The sequence below is a fragment of the Homo sapiens genome, chromosome 21 (genome assembly GCF_000001405.40).
Source record: "Homo sapiens chromosome 21, GRCh38.p14 Primary Assembly".
Taxonomy (NCBI): Eukaryota; Metazoa; Chordata; class Mammalia; order Primates; family Hominidae; genus Homo; species Homo sapiens.
The window spans coordinates 44920940-44940866 of record NC_000021.9 but is presented as its reverse complement, the minus strand read 5'-3'; the positions used below and the strand labels follow the sequence as shown (position 1 = coordinate 44940866).

The following is a 19927-nucleotide window of genomic DNA, read 5'->3' as shown; positions in this document are numbered from 1 at the left end:
TCCGAAAGAGAGGAGTGACAGAAAGGGGCAGAAAAAAATATTCAAGGAAATAATGGCTGAAGACTTGCCAATGTAACGAAAAACATTAACCTACACACGCAAGAAGCTCAGTGAACACGCAAAATAAATGCAGATACCTACACCAAGACACATCGGTCAAAATATTTAAGGCAAAAGCCAAAAAAAAAAAAAAATCCTGAAAGCAATAATTCCACTCACATGCAGTGTCTAGAATAAAGACAAAAGGTAGATTCGTGCTTGCTTAGGGCTGAGGGGGATGGAGAAACAGGCCAGCCGACTGCTAAAGGGAACGGGGTCTCTCTTCAGTTTGCTCTCCGTTCTTCTCTAACTCTGGGAACGTCCTTTCCTTTCCGGGGAGCTCAGTGCGATTCAGGAACCTCTGGGGTCCGCGTGGCAACCCTGGACCGCAGCGGGAGGTTCCTGGCTCTCTCCCCTCCCCGGGAGCGGCGCGAGTCCGTGTGCCCAGGACGGCAGCGCAGAGCGGAGCCTCGGAGTTTACGACGCTTCGCGAAGCAAGAAGGTCGCGTCTGTAGCGCAGCAAATGCCCGCAGAGCCCGAGGGAAGGCCGGGGTCGCGGAACCCTCCCGGAGGCGGCGCCCCGCAGCTCACCCGCCCTCGGACCCACGCGGCAGCCCCCGGCCAGCGCCTCCCCAGCTCACCTTCCCCGCGGCCGAGGCCGGCGGAGGGGTCGCCTCCGGGGCAGGGGGCGCGGGGCCGGGGGCGGCCTCCCCTTTCGGCCTCACGGCAGCCTGGTGCACTCGGGCGCGCAACCCCCTCACTTTCCCCATCTTCCCGGCGGAGCACGGCAAACGTGCGGAGCGCCTCCCGGAAGCTGGTCCTGCGTTCTCGCCGCCCGGCGGAAACAGGAGCCGCGGCTGCCGGGAGCCCCGCGGCCGCCGGAAGTACCCGGAAGCGGCTCGGGCGGGCGCAGGGTCGCGGGTGTAGGGTGGCGGCGCTCCGCCTTTCACCGACGCACCTGGGAGAAACAGACCGGAGGACGCGGGTGGCGCGGAGCACGAGAAACAACGAGTTTCTGTCTAGATCGTGGGGGACCCAAGCCCGGGGTTGCGTCCAAGGTCGGGGATGGAGAGGACGCGACCCCCGCGGCAGTCGAGATGGCCTTTTTAAAATTCTATATTTGAGAAGGAGTCTCGCGCTGTCGCCCAGGCTGGAGCGCAATGGCGCGAAATCGGCTCATTGCAGCCTCGACGTCCAGGACTCGAGCGATCCTCCCGCCTCAGCCTCTCGAGAAGGTGGGACCACCGGTGGGCACCGCCACGCCCGGCTAATTTTTATTAATGTTTTGCTAGAGCCGGGATCTTGCTGTGTTGTCTGGCTGGTCTTAAACTCCTGGGCTCCAGCGATCCTCCCTCCTCGGCCTCCCAAAGCGCTGGGATTACAGGCATGAGCCACACTGCGCCTGGCCAAGCTAGTGCATTTTAATTGACCTTCACTTCATGTCAATTTATTTTTTACACTATTCCATTTAGTCCTCAGAACAGTTCTTTAGAATTGGGTATTGCTCCGTTTACGTGGGAAACATAGCAGCGAGGTAACGGGCTGGGTCCCGTGCTGGGAACGGGAGCCCTGCTCATCTGACTGCTTGCACCCTGTGCTGTCTATGCTGGGCGTACTGGGGGGCGTTAGGGAAGAGACCACAGGTACGATGCAATGCCTGTCCTCAAGGAGCCCATTGTTCTCATGGGAACACAAAGCTGACACATCGAGAACAAACTATGGAACAGGCTGTGGCTGAGGGCCATGAAGGAAGGCTGCCAAGTCCGGGCCCAGCCAGGTAGCAGCCACACCTCTATCTACCCTGCTCCCCAACACTGGGCACCAGCACTCACCTGCCCAGGACCCACAGTGAAAACCCACCCACAAAAAATGCACTTTGGAGAAGAGTAGCAGGTCCCAGGCAGAGCCAGGGCCACCTCTCAGAAAGGACATCAAGTTTCTCGCCCAGCTGAGAGATGGACAGATGACCGCACAAGCCACTCACAGCCCAAGGTGATGGACTCTAGGATATATTCAAGGCTGAGCAACTGGCTTGAAGTCGTGTCTACTTACATATTCAAAGACCTAGTGAGCATTCACAAGTCATTCTTTTTACCCTCCAACTAGCCGTGTTCTCAACCAGTCTACCTAGGAATGCTGTTGGCTGTGAAAACTCCAGAGGCTGGTATCTTTAGAGTTCCTTCAGGGTGCATTCAGCATCTGAGCCTAGCGACTCTTGAGGTGAAAGTGCTCACGTTTTTTTTTTGGTGAGAGAGTCTCACTCTGTCGCCCAGGCTGGAGTGCAGTGGCGCAGTCTCAAAGTGCTCATCTTTATGTACTTTGGATGCCGGTGAATGCCTATTGTTTCAGCCAGCTGGATCACTTTACCTGTTAACCATTCCAATGTGAGTTTACTTCATGGAATTGTGCCTGTTTTTAAAGAACATATTCTGGCTGGGCGTGGTGGCCCACGCCTGTAATCCCAGCACTTTGGGAGGCTGAGGCAGGCGGATCACCTGAGGTCAGGAGTCTGAGACCAGCCTGACCAACGTGGAGAAACCCCATCTCCACTAAAAATACAAAATTAGCCAGGCGTGGTGGCGCATGCCTGTAATCCCAGCTACTCAGGAGGCTGAGGCAGGAGAATCGCTTGAACCGGGGAGGCAGAGGTTGCAATGACCCAAGATCACACCGTTGCACTCTGGCCTAGGCAACAAGAGCAAAACTCCGTCTCAAAAAAAAAAAATTTATATTCTTTAAAGATCAGCCTCCTCTTCCACTGCCAGCCCAGTGTTTGAGACTGCTATGGTTTGAATGTTGGTCCCCTCTGAAACCCATGTTGAAATGTAATTGCCATCATACTAGTATTAAGATGTGGCACCTTTAAGAGGTGATTAGGCCACAAGGACTCTACCGTCAGGAAAGGGTTAATGTTGTTATCATGGGAGTGGGTTTGTTATCAAAGTATTTTTCATAAAAGGACTAGTTTGCCCCCCTTTTGGCACACTCTTGCCCTCTCTTTGCTGTTCCACCATGGGATGACACAGCAAGAAGGCCCTTGCCAGTTGCTAGCTCTTCTGTCTTGGACTTCCCAGTCTCCAGAACCATGAGCCAGTAAATTTCAGTTCATTATATAAATTACCTAGTCTGTGGTATTCTGTTATAGCAGCACAAAACAGAGTAAGACAGTGACAAAGATACTCACCTGTACAAAGGAGGAAGCTTCAAAAGAAGCCATTCATGTATGGGGTGGGACTGCAGAAGGACCACAGTAGAGAATCCCTCACCAATAAGGAACTGTGTTAATCAGGTAACTAATTAATTAAAAAAAAATTAAGAGACAGGGTCTCACTCTGTTGCCCAAGTTGGAACAGTGGTGCAATCATAGCTCATTGTAATGGTGACCTCCTGGGCTCAAGTGATCCTCCCATCTTAGCCTCCTGAATAGCTGGGAACACAGGCATGTGCCACCACACCTGGCTAATTTTTTGGGTTTTTTTTTTTGCAGAGACACAATCTCCCTATGTTGCCCAGGCTGATCTTGAACTCGGCTCAAGCAGTCGTCCCACTTCAGCCTCCCAAAATGCTGAGATGACAGGCGTGAGCCACTGCCATGTGGCCCCAGATTTTCTTTTTTAAAAAGTCATATACGTACACGATACTGTAGGGGAGGCAAATATCCACCTCCCTCCTCTTAGGTTCCTGGCTGGGCCTGGGAACTAAGTTGAAATCAGATGGATTAACAGGAGAAATGTATACAAATTTAATGTCACTTTGATGTCACACAGGACCCTCCTAAGGAAGCAAAGACCCAAAGAAGTGACGAAACCTATGTGCTTTTGCAGGAGGCTGAACAAAGAGGCAGTTGTGGAAAAGTAAACCGTGTGGGGAGGCTTAAGAACGACAGGAATTACTTTAATTACTTTAATGTCTGTACAGAATTCTGTTGGCTATGACGTGCTTCCCTGTAGAGGAATCTTTCTTCGCCCGGTACAGGGAAGGCATCTTTCACCTGAGCGTTTTTATCTCCTGTCTTCAGGAAGAAAAGGAGAGATCCGATGATGCTCTTGCCTGTGCCATTTTTCAAGTGCCTTAGGTAGAAGTGATTCTTATGTCAAAGTGGCAGAGTGAGCCACCCTTCGATCCCAATGGAAACGTCCTAAAAGGTGTTGACAGTGAACAGTTCCCCTTCCTCCCCTGACGCCAGAGCCTAGTTCTCTGCCCACTTGAAACCATGATTATGGGTTTCCTATCGCAATTCTGTAGACTTTTATACAAAAAGAGTTTTATCTATGAGAAAATATTTTTCAGTGATCCTGTTCTTCACACCAATTAAACCTGACTGTTCCCTGCTCCGCACCTGGCTTCTCTCACGTCATAAAGATCTTACCATTTGCCCCTCATTCCTCCTGGCACTCCATAGCGGCTGCAGAGGACACTGGATGTGACATGGCTCCATCAGTTCCCACATGGCTTGTTCCCTCTCTCCTGCTGTAACTGACATGCTGGCATGCACATTGCCTTATACATACAAACAGAAGCTTTCCAAAGAGAAGTTTCAGGAAATTCACGTGGAATGTTTGGCAGTTGGTGTATATAAAAAGCTCAGGCCTGGCCGGGTGCAGTGGCTTACACCTGTAATCCCAGCACTTTGGGAGGCCGAGGCGGGCAGATCACAATGTCAGGAGATCAAGACTATCCTGGCTAACACGGTGAAACGCTGTCTCTACTAAAAATACAAAAAATTAGCTGGGCGTGGTGGCGGGCGCCTGTAGTCCCAGCTACTCAGGAGGCTGAGGCAGGAGAATGGCATGAACCGGGGAGGCGGAGCTTGCAGTGAGCCGAGATCGCACCACTGCACTCCAGCCTGGGCGATGGAGCGAGACTCTGTCTCAAAAAAAAAAAAATAAGTAAAAATAAAAAACTCAGGTCTGCTTCTCCCTTCGTGTTGTACCCAGGAGTGGCCAGAAGGCTCCTCTCCAGGCCTCACAGAGGGAAACACTGGTCTAGTGAGAGACCTGCGTCCTGCCCATCAGGACCGAAGCGGCACGCGTGAGGATCCTGCAGGCCAAGAGACAACAGCGATTACAAACCCCAGTCCCAGCCTTGCAGCTGACCTTGCAGGTGACGCCCTGCCTGGGTGTCTCGGTGCAGCTGCACATCAGGGGCCTCTGCTGGACAGAAGCTCTGAGTCCACACTTGGCCCCCAGGCGCTGGAGCTGGTAGGTGACATGTTGCACTCTTATTTGGGATTCTGCTACCTCTTTCTGTTCAACAAGTGAAGCCTCAGAATGCAGAGAGGGGGCTAGGAGAGGCCCCTGCAGACATGCTGGGCCTCATGGGGCCTCACAGCTGTCCAGAGCCAAACCATGCGGTGCTGCTCTGCTCCAGCCATGGCCAGTGGTGAAAGGGACAGAGGGAATCACTGATGCCTGCAAGGATGCTCTGACCCCTCAGGAAGGCTGCCCAGGTGCCCACCTTCAGGGAGACCCACAGATGCCCCATGCTGGGGGGGCACAGTATGAGTGGCTGAATCCTTGCAGAGCCAGTGCTAGGCTTGGACCCCTGCAGATGCAGGGGGTGCCCCAGGGAGGGTCTCCATGGACTCAGAGCCTGCCTCTGCCCTGGACTGTCTCCTGCTCCTGCTCTCTCCTCTCTGCCCCTGGAGTGGTGTGTGCTGGCTCTAGGTCAGTAGGAGGCTTCATTCAGAAATGCCTTTCAGCATGCTGCCCAGACCACGTCTCTGTTTCAGGAGCACTGCCACGAGAGGGGATGCTGCCGTGGCTGCGCCAGCTTCAGCCCTTTCCCTGCACCGAGATGTCCCAGTGAGCGGCTGGGTGCTCACAGTTCCCGTTGGGCCATCAGAGGAAGATCAAAGATCAACCCTCCCCCATGGGCTCCTGCCTGCCTGCCAGGTGGGTTTCCTGCCTGTCTCCCAGCCCCCAAGAGCTCCACGGACTCTGCCAGTAGCTGCTTTAAAGGAGGGAGGGAGTTTTCTGATCCTCTGGACATCCCTGGGGCTGGAGCTATGGGCTGAGCCATAGGAGAGCCAGCCCAGCTCCCTGGGGGTTGGGGGCTGTGTCTCTCCATCCCTTAGTAAAAATACAGCAACTCCCAACTCAAAGTCAAGGGTCAATAGTCACAAAACCTTGGTGCAGCCTGGAACAGGCATAGAGGTCTCAGCAGAGCTGCCCAAGGACAAGACCTAAGATCCAGCAGGGAACTATGTAGTCACCCCGAGAGGCCCAGCTCTCTCCGTGAGCTCTGGGCCTAGGGTGGGGGTGGTTGTTGGTTCTGCGCGCACTGTTCCCCCTACATGATGGGTCCATCCCAGTTGGCTTCTCTCACTCGCTTCCTCCTGTGGAGAAGCCTGTCCAGGTGTCACTGCCTCCAGGAAGCTGTCTCTGATTTCTCCAGTTGAACAGTGAGATTTGCCACACCTCACATGCATCGCTCTTGTCCCTGGAATTGTAACCATAGGTTTTCCTGTCTCCTGGAGGACAAGGATGAGGGCTTTCCACTTGAGTCTCCCTGGTGGAGCCCAGCTCCTGACATACCTGGTAAAAGTTCTCAAGAGAAGAACATGGAGGAGGAATGTGGATAACAACCCTGGCTGCCTGTGTGTTCCAAGCTAGGAAGATGTAATGTCCCCACAAACGGGGTAAATGGCTTGCCTGCGTCACAGCTGTCTCAAGCCCAGGCCCTGGGTGCCAGCCCAAGCCCAAGGACTAGGTCCAGAGCCACACAGCGCCAGGCCACATCCGCCTCACCTGGGACCTTTTGTGGGGTACAGTCTCCGGCCCCACCCAGACCTGCTGAAGGAGAGACCCCATGGCAAGGACTCAGCCACCTGCAGTTTCATAAGCCCCCAGTGGGTTCCTAGGCATGAAGACCACCGGTTAGAGGCTGAACTGGCAGGAACCTGTCTCCAGCCCCTTCTCACCCCAGCCGGGCCCTGCCTCAGAGGCAGCACCCAGGACGTGGCCATGACCCGTGGACTCCACTCAATCCCTCTTCTCCAGGAGCCATGCAAAGTGTCAGCCAGCCAGGCCCCTGGAAGGCAGTCATCACCTCTTAAGGCATTGCGGGTGTCGGTCCTGCAACTGCCAGGTGCAGCACACGACCCATGTCCGGTGTTCGATAGCAGGGAGCCATGACCTGGCAACGATTCCACGCTCAAAGGGGCACCCGGGGGGCCCTGGGTCGGGGCGGATCAGCTTTCCCTGGGCACATCTGCCTCATTCCAGATCTCCAGGGCTCATGTCTGTGACAGGGAGGGAAGGCTCTGCCCTGGCCTTCCGTCAGCTCTGCCAGTGCAGGCTGGGCAGCCTGGGCTTTAGAGCTGGCTTCTGCCCACACTTTCTCCGTGAAAGGAAAACAACTATGAGTCTGCCAAACGCATCTCAGATGCGTTTTAAAAAATTCTGGTCCCCGCTCTCTGTCCCATCATCTGCCTCGGGGACTTCCTCTCTCCGTGGTTCTCACCCCATACTCTGTCACTGCCACATTTTCACCTGGGCCTGGCCTTTGTCTCCACCTGAAACTCCTGAAAATCTTGAAATGGATTTCTAGGTCACTGGGGACTCCGGCAGCACATTCGGCTTCAGAATAAAGGGCGCCCGCGGTCCCCCAGCACCTGCCCAAGCCACACCCCTAGCTTCCCTCCCTATCCCTGCAGCCTGAGGGTCCCTTCAGCCACCCCTAAGTCCCCACCTGGGCTCCTGCCCCGCCCCTGGCTAGCAGCGCCTTCTCCACCGGGGCCCCTCTGCTCACAGAGCCCCCTCACCTCCCTGGGGATGAGGGGCCAGGCCATGACCCTGAAAGCCTAGCCCTGGCCTTGACCTCCCAGGAGCGCCCTCCCCGCCCTCTCCCGGCCCCGGCCCCGTCCTCTGCTGCTGGCCTCTGGGTCGTGCCCCGCAGACTGAGCTGCGCTTGGGGGTCCTGGCGGCCTGGGCCGTCCCGCACCGAACCCAGGCGGTCGGAGCCCGGCGGGGAGGCGCGAGGTCCTTCTGGGGGCTCCTCCGACGCCTGAGGGCGCTGCTTCCCCGCGGCCGCCCCGGGTTTCTGCGGAGCCGGGGCCTCCGCTCTCGGGAGACCCGGTGAGACCCCCGGGGAGGCCGCTGGGGAGGCGCGGGCTCTGCTCCCGGGTCCCAAATGCACCGGCTGCCCCTCAGGAGGGACGGCGACCTCCACCCACGGCGCTGGCGCCCGCACGGCCGCTCCTCCCGCTCCCGCAGCCTGGACGCCTCCCGAGGCCGCCCCGCCGGGCCCCACGCGCGGCCCCATCCGCAGGCCAGGACTGCCTTCCCGGAGCTGGCGGCCCCCAGCCTGGAGGAGCCGGCCCCAGACGCCCTCCCAGCCCTCCCCAGCCCACTCTGGCCCCGCAGCCCCCGCCTGGTCCGAGTGCGGGTCTCTGGCCCCGGCCTTTCCCGGGGAAGGAAAGCTCCCTTCACGCGCCCCAGGGAGGCGGCCAGGCTCGGAGCGTGGAATCCCTGCCCGCCGCGGACCGCAGGTTTTGGGCAAGCTCTGGCCTTCCTGAGCCTCAGTTTCCCCATCTCTATAATGGGGACGGCAGGGGTTTTTCTGAGGACCCCCAGGAAAAGCTCCAGGAAGCGCCTACTCACAGCGCGTGCTCAGTGGTGGCCCCGGAGCTGGCAGGGAGCAAACGCAACGGAATACGGCCGGGGTCGGGCGGTGGGGGTCTGGGTCGGGGTCAGGGTGGGGGTCGGATCGTGGTGTCCGCGGCGGGGGAGGCTCCGCGCACCGGCTGAGCAGCTCCGGACAGCGGGTGAGGGAAGGCGGCTTCCTCCTGCTTCGAGACCCATCCTCGTGCCCAGGGGAGCGCCTCAGGGAAGGAGGAGCCACGTTCCAGGGCACCTGGCTGGGACCTGCCGCAGCCTCTGCGCGCAGCGGGCTCCATCCCCCGGGCCACGGATTGGGAGACTGAGGCAGGCGCGAAGCCCGCCGCCCAGCCTCCGCTAGGGAGACCCCGGCCACCTCCAGGCAGTTTTCCTGAAGCCCGGGGCCAGGAGAAGGTGAGCGGCTGCCCGTCGGGGGTCGCCTGCGCCGGGTGGATGCGGCGGCACTTGGGTGCGGTGGGCTCCCAACCTCACTGTCCGACCAAAGGATCGCCCCGGCTGGGCGGGGACCTGGCGCGCCTAGGCCGGGAGGGGACAGCTGGTTTCGGGCGGCCTCTGCCCCAGTGACCTGTAGACTTTGGCTTTGGTTCAGGGACGTCTGGGGTTAAAAATGATCGTTTGGGTTCCCGCAGTACTGTTCGCGGTCTGAGCATCTCCACAACGCGCACATTCCCATAATGAATTTCCGAGAACCGGCACGCGTGCCTCCCCTCTTGGCTCCTGGGACTGCGAGGCCGGATCCAATCTGTGCGCCTCTGTGCGCAGGGACGGCTGATGGCCCGGTTCCGCCTGTCCGTGCCCCAGGATGCTACAGGAAGCTCAGATGCAAACTCTTTGGGGCTGTGAGTTCCCGCATTGGGAAACTCTTGCAATAAAAATAATCGTGCTGTAATCCCCAGGGACCATTGAGAGGAAGTGGTGAGGGCGGGGGAGGCGCGGGAGGAAGAGGCTGGGGGCTGAGGTGTGCTGGGGTGGGTAGGAGACCGGCTGAGCCCAGCACGGAGCCGCTTCCTGGTAGCCCTGGCGGCATCACCCTTGGGTCGGGTTCCAGAGCCCGGGGGTCCTTTCAGCTTTCCGTTCCTTTTCCTTATACTTCGTCCCTCTCTCCAGCTAGAGAGGGGCAGGCTCTGGGGTCTGGGTACTTTTGTTTTGGAGCCATTTAACTTGAGTTATAATAACATGCTTTTCTGATTATAAAATTAATGCATGGCTACCATAAACAATTTGGAAAAGACAGAAAACAAGTTAACACGTTAAAATCTCAATCCTGTCTGGTGAGGACTGCAGTGAAGCCCAGCTGGCCACCCCTTCCGGGGCCTCTGTTCTCCCCAGGGCCTTGCAGCCTCTCTGGGCTTGGCATTGCTATGGCTAAAGTGTGAAAGGGTCATGCAAGGCTGTCAGCCCTGCGTCCCCCACGTGTGACTGCATGGGGTCCCACCCAAATCGGAGTAATATACCCACTCAGCCTCACCCCTGCTCTGCTGGCCCCAGGGAGGAAATGCTCATCATTGCATCCGCCCACCCCACCCCTGCAGTGCCACATTCACCAGCCTCGCTGGGCATCTTCCCCCTCCCCGCCCTCTGCCCCTGGCGCATTCACCAGCCTCACTGGGCATATTCTGCCCTCCCCGCCCCTGCGGTGGCATATTCACCAGCCCCGCTGGGCATGTCCCCCACCCTGCCCCTGCAGTGCCACATTCACCAGCCTCGCTGGGCATGTTCCCCCACCCTGTCTTCTGCCCCTGCCTCATTCACCAGCTTCACTGCCCCTAGCCTTCCCTCACTCAGCAGCCTCTGGGCCCCAGTCCCCACTGCCACTCCGTGTTCCCAGGCTCTGCACTCCCAACCCTTCATCTGCTCATCCCTGGGAGGCAGACCTGTCACCTCATTTACAAATGGAAAAAGGTGCCTTTCAGGAACTGACCTGAGGCTGTGCAGCCCCCTGCCTAGCAGGTGCCTAGCGGTTGCTGCTGTTTCTATCAGAAAGAAAAACTAACAGGGGGAGGGAGGGGGGAGGGCTGCCCTCCAGCCTTCAGGGGCTTCCTGGGTGGAGGGGGCCAGACCTTTCTGGTCAGGTCCCTCTGGGTTGAGAGGTCATCTCCGGGACAGGACTCAGAACTGGAAGAGGGAGGGGCAGCGAGGAAAGGTCCCTGCCTGGCGGTGCTGCCTTCCATGGGGGCCTTGTGGGGCAGAGGCTGGAACACCCACTTGGGGTTTCTGGTGGGAACTGGGGAGCAGGGTGGGGAGCCTGAGTCCCCTCAGAGGAGGAGTCATTTTGAAACTGGAGGGAGAGGCTAAAAGAGGAGGCTGTGGAGAGACCTAGTGTTGACCAGGGTCCAGCGTCAGTGTTTAGGTTCTCTAGCTCTTCCCCACCTCCAATGTCCTCCATGTCCGCACCATTCCCACGTGCCTGTGTCCCACCTCTTCTCCCACACACTGTCCCCACTCCCCATGCCCCATTCCTCTCCAGAGAATCACTGGTCTAGAATAGAGACCTACAAACTTGGGCCCTTAGGCTGGCCCTCCACCTGTTTTTGTCAATAAAGTTTTATTGGAACACAGTCATACTCATTCACTTTCAGAAGGTCTATGGTCACTCTGCAGCCACAATGGCAGAGCTGAGTAGTCGCGGCAGAGACCATTTGGCCAGCAAAGCCTAAAACACATACTGTCTGCAGGGGCTTCCTGGGTGGAGGGGGGGTGAACCTTCCTGGTCAGATCCCTCTGGGTTGAGAGCTCTTCCCCCTCCAGGGAAGAGCTTGCCCACCTCCGCATCGCAGCTCACTTTTACGGAGCACTTTCTCTCTGTTCTGTGCCACCCGAGCCCATATCCAGGCCCAGTGAGCTCTGCACATTGGTCATCCCCTCACTGCAGGGGGAGGCCCAGATACCACCCACAGGACACATTTGTGTGTGAAGTGCCACACTAGGGCCCAGAAGGGACAGCTCCCCACCAGGTAGGGACAAAGCAGGGGTAAAGGGAACACATGGGCCGGCCTATGAGCTGGACCCTTCAGGATGGGAAATGCGTGGGCCGGGTTGCAGAGGGGGTTGGTGAGGGGCTCGGGGACAACACAGGTGTGTTCAGAGACAAGGCGGGTCATTAGATTTGATGGAGGCTTGGGGTCCCTGAGCTTAGGAAGCCCCCATGGAAACCAAGTCACAGGCATCCAGGGTGAGGAAGGCTGCCCACAGGCATCCAGGGTGAGGAAGGCTGCCCACAGGCATCCAGGGTGAGGAAGGCAGCCCACAGGCATCCAGGGTGAGGAAGGCTGCCCACAGGCATCCAGGGTGAGGAAGGCAGCCCACAGGCATCCAGGGTGAGGAAGGCTGCCCACAGGCATCCAGGGTGAGGAAGGCTGCCCACAGGCATCCAGGGTGAGGAAGGCAGCCCACACTTTTCTTGGAGACACATCCCCAAAGAAGTCCTCACGTGGCTCCGTTTGGGCAGAAACCATGAATTGAACGGGAAAAGAAATATGTCAAGTATCAGAAAGAAGAGTGGCATGCTTTGACAGCAAGTGGACTCCGAGTCCAGGGCAGAGCCTCAGTTAGGGTAAGAGGCACCCACCCGACCCAACCCGACCCGACCCGACCCGACCCTCGGGAGCCCTGCTCTCTGGTCAGTTGGCCTTCATGGGGGTGGGGAGGTGGGTGGAGGAATGAGGTTTAGTGGTCTGCGAAGGTGGCAGATCTTGTTTTGGTAGATGAGGGCATTATCTCCCACTGCCCCACCACATTCGAGCTGCTTTCAGTCGGCGTGGTGCTTTTGCTCTCTCTGACCATGCAATTGTCGTTCACTGCTGGGCCATGTGGACGGACTGGAATTACAGTTTCTTCTTCTCCGGTTTTCCCCCTGGAGTCCATCGTTGCTTAACTGTTTTCCTCGTTCCATCTCCTTTGAACATTGAGCATCTTCCCACCCCCAGGGGGCCTGGAAGACTTCCCAGCATAACTCCCCACCCAGCCAAGGCTACCGGTCAGTCTGTCCCTGGACAGGGGGTGACAGGTGAGCCTGTCTGGCAGCCCTTGCCAGGGGCTGTGAAATCTTCCTTTGGGTGAGTCAGGGAAGCAAGAATGCCACCTCCTCAGCTCTCTCCCTCAAGGAGGAGCCACACCACGCAGAGGAAGGCAGAGGAGGGAGGAACTGTGCTCCCAGTGTGGGAAGCTGCGTCGGGGGGTTGGGGGGGCACAGGCCCACCCAGGCCACAGGGGGATGGAGGCTGCCCCCAGCTTCTCGCAGCCCTCCCTCCTTCCTACACTCACCTGCCTTCCCCGGGGCAGATCTCCATTTCTGCATTGCACCCAGCCTGGTGGCCTGGGACCAGCCCTGATGGTCAGCCTGTTTGTATGGATCTGTGGGGGATCCCATGAGAAAGAGCTCGTTGGAGCACCCCACCTGGGGCACCCAACTCCATTTCCTGCCCCGAGCCCTCCCCACTCGCCTCCAGGGAGTGTGTGTCACCTCCTCCCCTCTGCCAGCCCTGCCTGCAGCCCTCTTCTCCGCCCCCGCCCCTGCCCCCAGCCTGCAAAAGGTCTCACCCGCCTTCAAAGGGAGCTGAATCAACACTGCAGAAGGAAGTCACTGGGGGGAAGAAGTGAAAAAGAAAAAAAAAGGCCTACGTGGGGGCAGGGTTGGGAGGAGACCAGAGTTGGGTTGCAGGGGAATTTGCAGGCAGGTTGGAGGGTGGGCGGGAGAGGGAAGTGTGGTGAGTGACTGGGAGGGAGCAGCGGTTCCCGGGTGGCCCCAGGGTCCTCGTGGGGGTGCTCTCCAGGCAGGAAGGGACTTTCTGCCACTTGGACATCTCCCTGTGGGGCCAGACCCCAGGGGTCTCCAGGGCTGGTTAGACTCCTTTCTCATCCCTTATGAACCTCACTGACCTGACTCTTCCCTTGGTGCTGCCAAAATATTGCAGCTCCCCAAGCACCTCTGTGAAGTGAGCCTGGAACCACCCTCTCCCCACTGGCCCTCTCCATCCTTAGCATCTTTCTTGACCTTCAAACCCTGCTCCTATGGGGTCTCCTCCGTGGAAACTTCCAGAATCCCACCTGTCACAGAGAGACCTCCTTCCCAAGCTCTGGGGTTGTGTGTTATGGGGGTGGAAGCTGGGCGAAGGGAAGCTGGGGGGCCCAGGCCAGTGTCCAGGATGGGAGGGCAGGAGAGCAGCCCTCAGGCTCTGAATCTCCTTCCCCATCTATGCTCACCGGCTGCCCCCGCTGCCTCCACGTGTGGACGCTGGGGGTCCCTCTCATCTGCCTTGTGTCATGGCTGACATGCTTGTCTCCTGAACTCGATGGTCTGTTCTGGAGCTCAGGGTCGGGCAGCCTCAGAGCACGCAGGTCTGCCAGGCAAGCACAGGGAAAGGCTCAACCAACCAACCCCTGATGACAGCAGGTAGTTTTCTGGAATACATAAGTGAAAGTGACTGCAAATGGAATTTCTGGGCTGACTGGAGGGAAAAGATTGTTCCCAGAATCCTGCTCCAGTCCTGCTCACTCACGCCTGGCTTCAGAACCTAGCTTGGTGATTCAGCAGATGAGAAACCCTGAGCAGTTGTACCCAGACATGCGGCCAGTTTCGCCCACCTGACTCCCTCGGCTCTTAGGGACGGACTCCTCAGTCCTAGCTTGGGATCAACATCTACTCTTTCCTGTGGCTGCTTGGCTGGAGGGCCCTGGGAAGCAGCCCGGCGTGGCCCCACGGATGCCGGTTGCCGGTGCTGCTACATTTCCTTCTGCGGTCGCCATTTCCTCATCAAAGCAAGAGGGCAGGGCAGCAGGCCTCCCGGCTCCGTGGAGCCTGTGATTTTTCACTCCGTGCAGCCACACCTGATATTTTTACACTAAACGCACCAATTACTCACTTGTCTCCACAAAGAAAAACGTGCACAGCCTCTGACTTCCAGCCTTGTGCAACAGGCACATCAGATGGGGGATAGTAAGATGAGTGCTGAGTGAGTCCCCGGAATGGAGGTCTGGGTCCCCCCATAGCAAGGTCACGGCTCTGGGAAGCCCCACGGTCCCTAGCCCCTCCCCTTCACTCCCTCCACCAGCCTTTATTTAATTAATTAATTAATTTATTTATTTATTGTATATATATTTTTTGAGACGGAGTCTCGCTCTGTTGTCCAGGCTGGAGTGCAGTGGCACGATCTTGGCTCACTGCAAGCTCCGCCTCCCAGGTTCACACCATTTTCCTGCCTCAGCCTCCCAAGTAGCTGGGACTACAGGCACCCGCCACCATGCCCAGCTAATTTTATTTTTATTGATTTATTTTTGTTGTTGTTGTATTTTTAGTAGAGACGAGGTTTCACCATGTTAGCCAGGATGGTCTCGAACTCCTGACCTCGTGATCCACCCGCCTCGGCCTCCAAAAGTGCTGGGATTACAGGCGTGAGCCCCCGCGCCCGGCCTCTAACAGCTGTTTTAATGCTCCGTGTGATCATTTCAGCATTGGGATTATCTCGGAGTTGGCATCTATTAGTTATCTTTTCTCTTACAAGTTCTCAAGGTTTTCTTTGTTGCTGTTTGAGTACTTTTGGGTTGTATCATGGACATTTTGAATATTATTTAATAAGACTCTGGATTCTACTAAAATCCTCTGGACAACAATGATCTTTTTGTTTTGCTAGCAGTCAGTCTGGTTAGGGTTAGACCACAAGTCCAGACCTGCCTCTTGTGGGCTGTGGTTCTCATGTGAGTTCAGTTTTTATTTTTTCTTTTCTTTTTCCTTCCTTCCTTCCTTCCTTCCTTCCTTCCTTCCTTCCTTCCTTCCTTCCTTCCTTCCCTCCCTCCCTCCCTTCCTTCTTCCTTTCTTTCTTTCTGACAGGATCTTACTCTGTCACCCAGGCTGGAGTGCAGTGGTGTGATCTTGGCTCACCATAGCCTTGGCAACGTAGCGAGACCTAGTCTCTATTAAAAAAAGAAAGAAAGAAACAACAGCAACAAAAAGAAAATTTACGGAATTGTGCAATCATCACCACAATCTAATTTCAGAGCATTTCCACCCCCTGAAAGATCCTTCTGCTCATTTGCAGTCACTTCCTCCTAGCTCCTTTAAAAAAAAAAAAAAGATATAAACTATTTTAAGAATACAGAACAGCATGGAGAGCACTAGTACCAATCCCCAAACAGCTACCTCTCATCTTACCAAATCTTAACATGTTGCCTGACTTGCCCAGAACTTTTTCTTCCTTTTTAGTAAAGAAAACTCTACAATAGAACTTTGAAGCCCTCTGCTTCCATCTCCCAGGCCCGTAGCCTTCTCTGTCTTCAGGGGTAACCACTGTCCTGCTCTAGGGGTGTGTGGGTCTGCAGGGACGAGGTGCATGTTATTCTTCAATGCCTCCTTCTACATTTTGCTTTTCAGAAGAATCTCAGTGTTACGGATCTGTGGGTCACGAGGCTTCAGAGCAGCACTTCAAGGGCTCTTATTCATTACCCCGTAGCGTGAGTGTGGCACCATGGATGTATGTGATCTAGGCTATATTTGGGTCCACTTTTCAGGAGTGCTGTTTTTTTTCTTTCATGCCATCCTTTGGACAGCATCTAATTTCATTCAATTGTGTCCGTGAATTTGGCCTCCTTATGGTCTTTGTGCTTTAGAATATGTGGTTATTTCCCTTGTGGTCTAGTAATTATGTGTTTATCATTGTCCCACTTTGTAACATAATTGTGTTTAAGTTGGAGACGAATGGTTACGTTCCTCAAATTCTCTACCTGCCAAATTTGCATTTCTATTTGATTTTTTCTTGTTTGTTTGTTGTTGTTTTTGTTTTTGAGTAAGAGTTTCCTTCTCATCACCCAGGCTGGAATGCAGTGGCACAATCTCGGCTCACTGCAACCTCTGCCTCCTAGGTTTGAGTGATTCTCCTGCCTCAGCCTCCCAAGTAGCTGGGATTACAGGCATGCGCCACCATGCCCAGCTAATTTTTGTATTTTTAGTAGAGACAGGGTTTTGCCATGTTGGCCAGGCTGGTCTTGAACTCCTAACCTCAGGTGATCCGCTCACATCAGCCTCCCAAAGTGCTGGGATTGCAGGTGTGAGCCACCGCGACTGGCCTGATGTGTTTATTTCTGAGAGAGATCTGTTAGAGATATTTGCTGTTTGGGGCTGTGTCAGTTTGCTTATATATTTGTCAGTCTTTGTTTTATATATTTTGAAGTTCGGCACACAAAGGATTATGGCTGCTGAACTGTCTGTGGATTCTGACTCTCATTGGCTACATCTTCCTTTGTCCATTTGATGCATTTTGCTTTGATTTCTATCTTTTTGATGTTACACGATATCTTCGTTAGTATTTTCTAGCACATACGTGTATTTTCCGTTTCTTTATTTTCAGCCTTCAGTGTTCTCTTTTAACAGTTTATCTGATAGAGAGCCTTTCTTACACTTTTTACTTTTTAATTGTGATAAAATATACATAACATAAATTCACCATTTTAACCATTTGAAGTTATGCATTTCCGTGGCATTAAGGACACTTAGTACTGTGCAACCATCACCACCAACTTCTCCAAAACCATTTCATCTTGCAAAACGGGAACTTTATACCCGCGAAATAATAACTTTACACTTCCTTGAAATGTTTTTTTAATCTTACTACAAAAAATTTCACACATCTACAGAAGTAGAGAGAATAGATTAGTGAAGCCCCATGTCCCCAACAGTGGCTTCAAAAATAATCAACTCACAGGTGATCTTGTTGTATCAACACCTCTCCCGACTCTCCCCCAACCCAACCCACCCCTCTTTATTGGGAAATAAATCTGAAACATTATACTGCACCATCTGCAAATATTTCAACATGTAACTCTAAAAGATGGGGACTTTTTAACATAACCACAAACCATTGTCACACTTAAAACAATTAACAATGATTTTAAAATATGGTCCATGCATTGCAATTGGTTCTATTAAGAGATTAAATCTCTTAATCTAAAGGGTCTCTCTCCCTTCGTCTCTCCTCTTGTACTGTGCTGTTTGCCTTGTGAGGGTTTCTTCAGCCTGGATTTTGCTAATTGCATCCCTACGATGTCATCTAACACACCCTCCTGATGCTTCTTTGTAGATCTAAAAAGTTCGACCTGATTCAGGCTCAATAGTAACATTTGTTCTTTCTATTTTTCTTGATTTCTATTGTTATTTCATCAAGACTAATTCATTAAAGGTGTGTGCATAACGTCTGCTGCGTCCGTGACGTTCGCAGCGAGGGTCATTGCTTACTTTAAGTCATCAGCGGGTGTAGTAGAATGGTATTCTCTTTCTGTCCTTCTTCATTATTTTCTAGGCTAAGTCTGTAATGAGAAGATACCCTTGACAGAGAACATTTCATTGGAACTTGTTTTGTCTCTTTATTTCTAAAACCCAACGCAAGACCTTGTTGATTTAAAACAAGAAAATGTAACCCATTCACAGGTGCTGTGATTCCTGATGGGTTTGAAATTATTCCCAATGTTTTATTGTTTGGTTTTTATTTACCTTTCTTGTTTGTTCTATTTTCCCTTACTTTTTTCTTTTAAAGGATTTGCCTTTTTTTTTTTTTTTTTTTCTCAGTTACCCAGACTGGAGTGCAGTGGTGTAAGCATGGTTCACCGTAGCCTCAACCTCTTGGGCTCAAGCAATTCTCCCACCTCAGCCTCCCAAGTAGCCTGGACCATATCGCGTGCTACCATGCCTGGCGAATTCTTAGAAAATTTTTTTGTAGAGATGAGGGTCTGGGTCTCCAAATGTTGCCTAGGCTGGTCTCGAACTCCTGGGCTCAAGTGATCCTCCCACCTCGGCCTCCCAAAGTGCTGGGATTACAAGTTTGAGCCACCATGCCCAAAATAAAGATTTGTCATATTTTTTTTCAGGTATATACATGCTATTTTTATTCTTAAGGAGACTCTTGAATTGTTAGCATATATACTTAGATATTTTCTATCAAAATGCCCACTGACAAGCATCTATATTCCTCCCCAGATAGGATGGAACGGCAATGTGCTCCCTGGCCCCTCCCAACCCAGTCCTCTAGGCGTTTTGTTTCACAGCGTTAATATTCTTACCACTATTTTTTAAATCAACAGGTTATGACATCATAATTTTTACTTATTTCTTTGCCCAACTTTGTATCATCTGCTCTTGTATTTCTCATGGATTTCTTCATGTCTATTTCTGCAAGACATCTTTAAAACAGAGTTTAGGAGCCGGGAGCCATGGCTCACGCCAGTAATCCCAGCACTTTGGAAGGCAGAGGTGGATGGATCACTTGAAGCCAGGAGTTCAAGACCAGCCTGGTCAACATAGTGAAACCCTGTCTCTACTAAGAATACAAAAATTACCCAGGCGTGGTGGTACATGTGCCTGTAATCCCAGCTACTTGGGAGGCTGAGGCAGGAGAATTGCTTGAACCCGGGAGGCAGAGGTTGCAGTGAGCTGAGATCACGCCACTGCACTCCAGCCTGGGTGACAAAAGCAAAACTCTGTCTCAAAAAAAACTGAAAACATAAAAATAAATAAATAAATAAAACAGAGTTTAGGGTAGTAATGTGTCTGAGTCCTTGCTCTGAAGATGTCTGATTTGGGTTTTTTTTCTAGGTATAATCTCTTTCCCTCCTCTTCCTCCTCCTCCTCCTCTCCCTTCTCTCTCTCTCTGAGCCTGTAGTATTTTCCCTTTCGTGTTCTGTGGTATCCTCCTAATGTCCCTAGTTAACAGGACCTCATCCATCCATCCCTGGGGTGTTCAGTGGCCTCGCAATCCACGTCCCCGCCCAGATCCGCAGCCTTCCTCCTGTGACCTGAGTGTCTCCTCCTCGCTGTCCCTGTTCTGTCCCCTCCCGCCCTCACATGCAGGTGGATGTCAATGCGTGCACGCACCCAGGTTTTCTTGCCTGTTCCCACCTCTTTATCCTCCTTGGCTGGTTCCTCCGCTCCATTCTCTGGCTCAGGAATTTGCTCCCCAGGGTTTTTCATTCCGCTCTGTAGCAGAATGTGCTACTGTTGCTTTCCAGCATCAAACTTTTCACTCCCATGGCCTCTGTGTTCTTCTTCCTAATGGGTGCCCTTTCTGCCTGGCGCTCCTGGAGGCCGGGCCCCTCTCCCAAGTGTGAATCTGATGGAAGCAGGTCCTTCTCGCCGGGACCTCATGTGAGAAATGACATGTCCCACCTGTCTCAAGGGGCCGCTCTCTGACATCAGAGCTGCTGTAGAGCGGAGAGGGGCAGGGGTGAAGGGCCACGGTGGTGCAACCCACCACTTCCTCCAAGGAGGAGCTGAGAGGAACAGGAAG

General features: G+C 54.1%; 2 protein-coding genes and 2 long non-coding RNA genes across 17 annotated transcripts in view, besides 13 other annotated features; 2 read left to right on the top strand and 2 right to left on the bottom strand.

Moving 5' to 3' along the window:
• The window catches only part of SLX9 (SLX9 ribosome biogenesis factor), a 37277-nt gene extending 36107 nt beyond the window's left edge, over window positions 1–1170 (bottom strand). For 6 of the 8 annotated variants that reach the window (NM_058190.4, NM_001316983.2, NM_001316986.2 and 3 more), the window contains exon 1: window positions 681–838. In NM_058190.4, coding sequence (NP_478070.1) covers window positions 681–809 — 129 coding nt within the window. In that variant the 5' untranslated portion in view covers window positions 810–838. Of the gene's footprint in view, window positions 1–219; window positions 566–680; window positions 839–997 lie in introns of those variants that run through there. The other 2 variants (NM_001316988.2, XM_017028481.3) reach the window with 2 other exon arrangements.
• Window positions 244–323: an enhancer, noted in NCBI's record as "active region_18584". NCBI's record gives its function as "activates an Ori minimal core promoter by ATAC-STARR-seq in GM12878 lymphoblastoid cells {active_cell/tissue: GM12878}" and the evidence as "EXISTENCE:reporter gene assay evidence [ECO:0000049][PMID:35858748]".
• Window positions 354–403: an enhancer, noted in NCBI's record as "active region_18583". NCBI's record gives its function as "activates an Ori minimal core promoter by ATAC-STARR-seq in GM12878 lymphoblastoid cells {active_cell/tissue: GM12878}" and the evidence as "EXISTENCE:reporter gene assay evidence [ECO:0000049][PMID:35858748]".
• Window positions 494–1013: a silencer, noted in NCBI's record as "silent region_13397". NCBI's record gives its function as "represses an Ori minimal core promoter by ATAC-STARR-seq in GM12878 lymphoblastoid cells {active_cell/tissue: GM12878}" and the evidence as "EXISTENCE:reporter gene assay evidence [ECO:0000049][PMID:35858748]".
• Window positions 494–1152: a biological region, named in NCBI's record as "H3K27ac hESC enhancer GRCh37_chr21:46359630-46360194".
• Window positions 588–1152: an enhancer, noted in NCBI's record as "H3K27ac hESC enhancer chr21:46359630-46360194 (GRCh37/hg19 assembly coordinates)". NCBI's record gives its function as "activates a minimal SCP1, AML or CMV promoter by ChIP-STARR-seq in primed H9 embryonic stem cells {active_cell/tissue: H9 hESC(primed)}" and the evidence as "EXISTENCE:reporter gene assay evidence [ECO:0000049][PMID:30033119]".
• LINC01547 (long intergenic non-protein coding RNA 1547) lies at window positions 954–7583 on the top strand. Of its 2 annotated transcripts, none has more exons than NR_027128.1 (4): window positions 954–1274; window positions 4977–5240; window positions 5771–5933; window positions 6499–7583. It is a non-coding gene; the product is annotated as a long intergenic non-protein coding RNA 1547 (long non-coding RNA). The 2 variants fall into 2 exon arrangements; NR_027129.1 differs by lacking the exon at window positions 6499–7583 and adding an exon at window positions 3185–3328 and having other exon boundaries at window positions 5771–6142.
• Window positions 7937–8306: a silencer, noted in NCBI's record as "silent region_13396". NCBI's record gives its function as "represses an Ori minimal core promoter by ATAC-STARR-seq in GM12878 lymphoblastoid cells {active_cell/tissue: GM12878}" and the evidence as "EXISTENCE:reporter gene assay evidence [ECO:0000049][PMID:35858748]".
• Window positions 8636–9515: an enhancer, noted in NCBI's record as "H3K27ac-H3K4me1 hESC enhancer chr21:46351267-46352146 (GRCh37/hg19 assembly coordinates)". NCBI's record gives its function as "activates a minimal SCP1, AML or CMV promoter by ChIP-STARR-seq in naive H9 embryonic stem cells {active_cell/tissue: H9 hESC(naive)}" and the evidence as "EXISTENCE:reporter gene assay evidence [ECO:0000049][PMID:30033119]".
• Window positions 10727–10866: an enhancer, noted in NCBI's record as "active region_18582". NCBI's record gives its function as "activates an Ori minimal core promoter by ATAC-STARR-seq in GM12878 lymphoblastoid cells {active_cell/tissue: GM12878}" and the evidence as "EXISTENCE:reporter gene assay evidence [ECO:0000049][PMID:35858748]".
• Window positions 11137–11436: an enhancer, noted in NCBI's record as "active region_18581". NCBI's record gives its function as "activates an Ori minimal core promoter by ATAC-STARR-seq in GM12878 lymphoblastoid cells {active_cell/tissue: GM12878}" and the evidence as "EXISTENCE:reporter gene assay evidence [ECO:0000049][PMID:35858748]".
• Window positions 11187–19832, bottom strand: ITGB2-AS1 (ITGB2 antisense RNA 1). 6 transcript variants are annotated; one of them, NR_038311.1, is made up of 5 exons: window positions 19516–19832; window positions 17884–17954; window positions 13863–13999; window positions 13200–13242; window positions 11187–13013 (listed from the first exon to the last, which is right to left on the bottom strand). It is a non-coding gene; the product is annotated as an ITGB2 antisense RNA 1 (long non-coding RNA). The 6 variants fall into 6 exon arrangements; NR_038313.1 differs by having other exon boundaries at window positions 19540–19832; NR_038312.1 differs by lacking the exon at window positions 13200–13242.
• ITGB2 (integrin subunit beta 2) overlaps window positions 12052–19927 on the top strand; it is a 42863-nt gene continuing 34987 nt past the window's right edge. The window contains exon 1 of the mRNA NM_001127491.3: window positions 12052–12213. The gene's annotated coding sequence lies outside the window, so the exon portion shown is untranslated. The remainder of the gene's footprint in view (window positions 12214–19927) is intronic.
• Window positions 12538–13737: an enhancer, noted in NCBI's record as "CDK7 strongly-dependent group 2 enhancer chr21:46347045-46348244 (GRCh37/hg19 assembly coordinates)". NCBI's record gives its function as "activates an origin of replication core promoter dependent on BRD2, BRD4, P300/CBP, MED14 and CDK7 cofactors, with strong dependence on CDK7, by STARR-seq in HCT116 cells {active_cell/tissue: HCT116}" and the evidence as "EXISTENCE:reporter gene assay evidence [ECO:0000049][PMID:35650434]".
• Window positions 12538–13969: a biological region, named in NCBI's record as "CDK7 strongly-dependent group 2 enhancer GRCh37_chr21:46347045-46348244".
• Window positions 13082–13969: an enhancer, noted in NCBI's record as "H3K27ac-H3K4me1 hESC enhancer chr21:46346813-46347700 (GRCh37/hg19 assembly coordinates)". NCBI's record gives its function as "activates a minimal SCP1, AML or CMV promoter by ChIP-STARR-seq in primed H9 embryonic stem cells {active_cell/tissue: H9 hESC(primed)}" and the evidence as "EXISTENCE:reporter gene assay evidence [ECO:0000049][PMID:30033119]".
• Window positions 13970–14859: an enhancer, noted in NCBI's record as "H3K27ac-H3K4me1 hESC enhancer chr21:46345923-46346812 (GRCh37/hg19 assembly coordinates)". NCBI's record gives its function as "activates a minimal SCP1, AML or CMV promoter by ChIP-STARR-seq in naive H9 embryonic stem cells {active_cell/tissue: H9 hESC(naive)}" and the evidence as "EXISTENCE:reporter gene assay evidence [ECO:0000049][PMID:30033119]".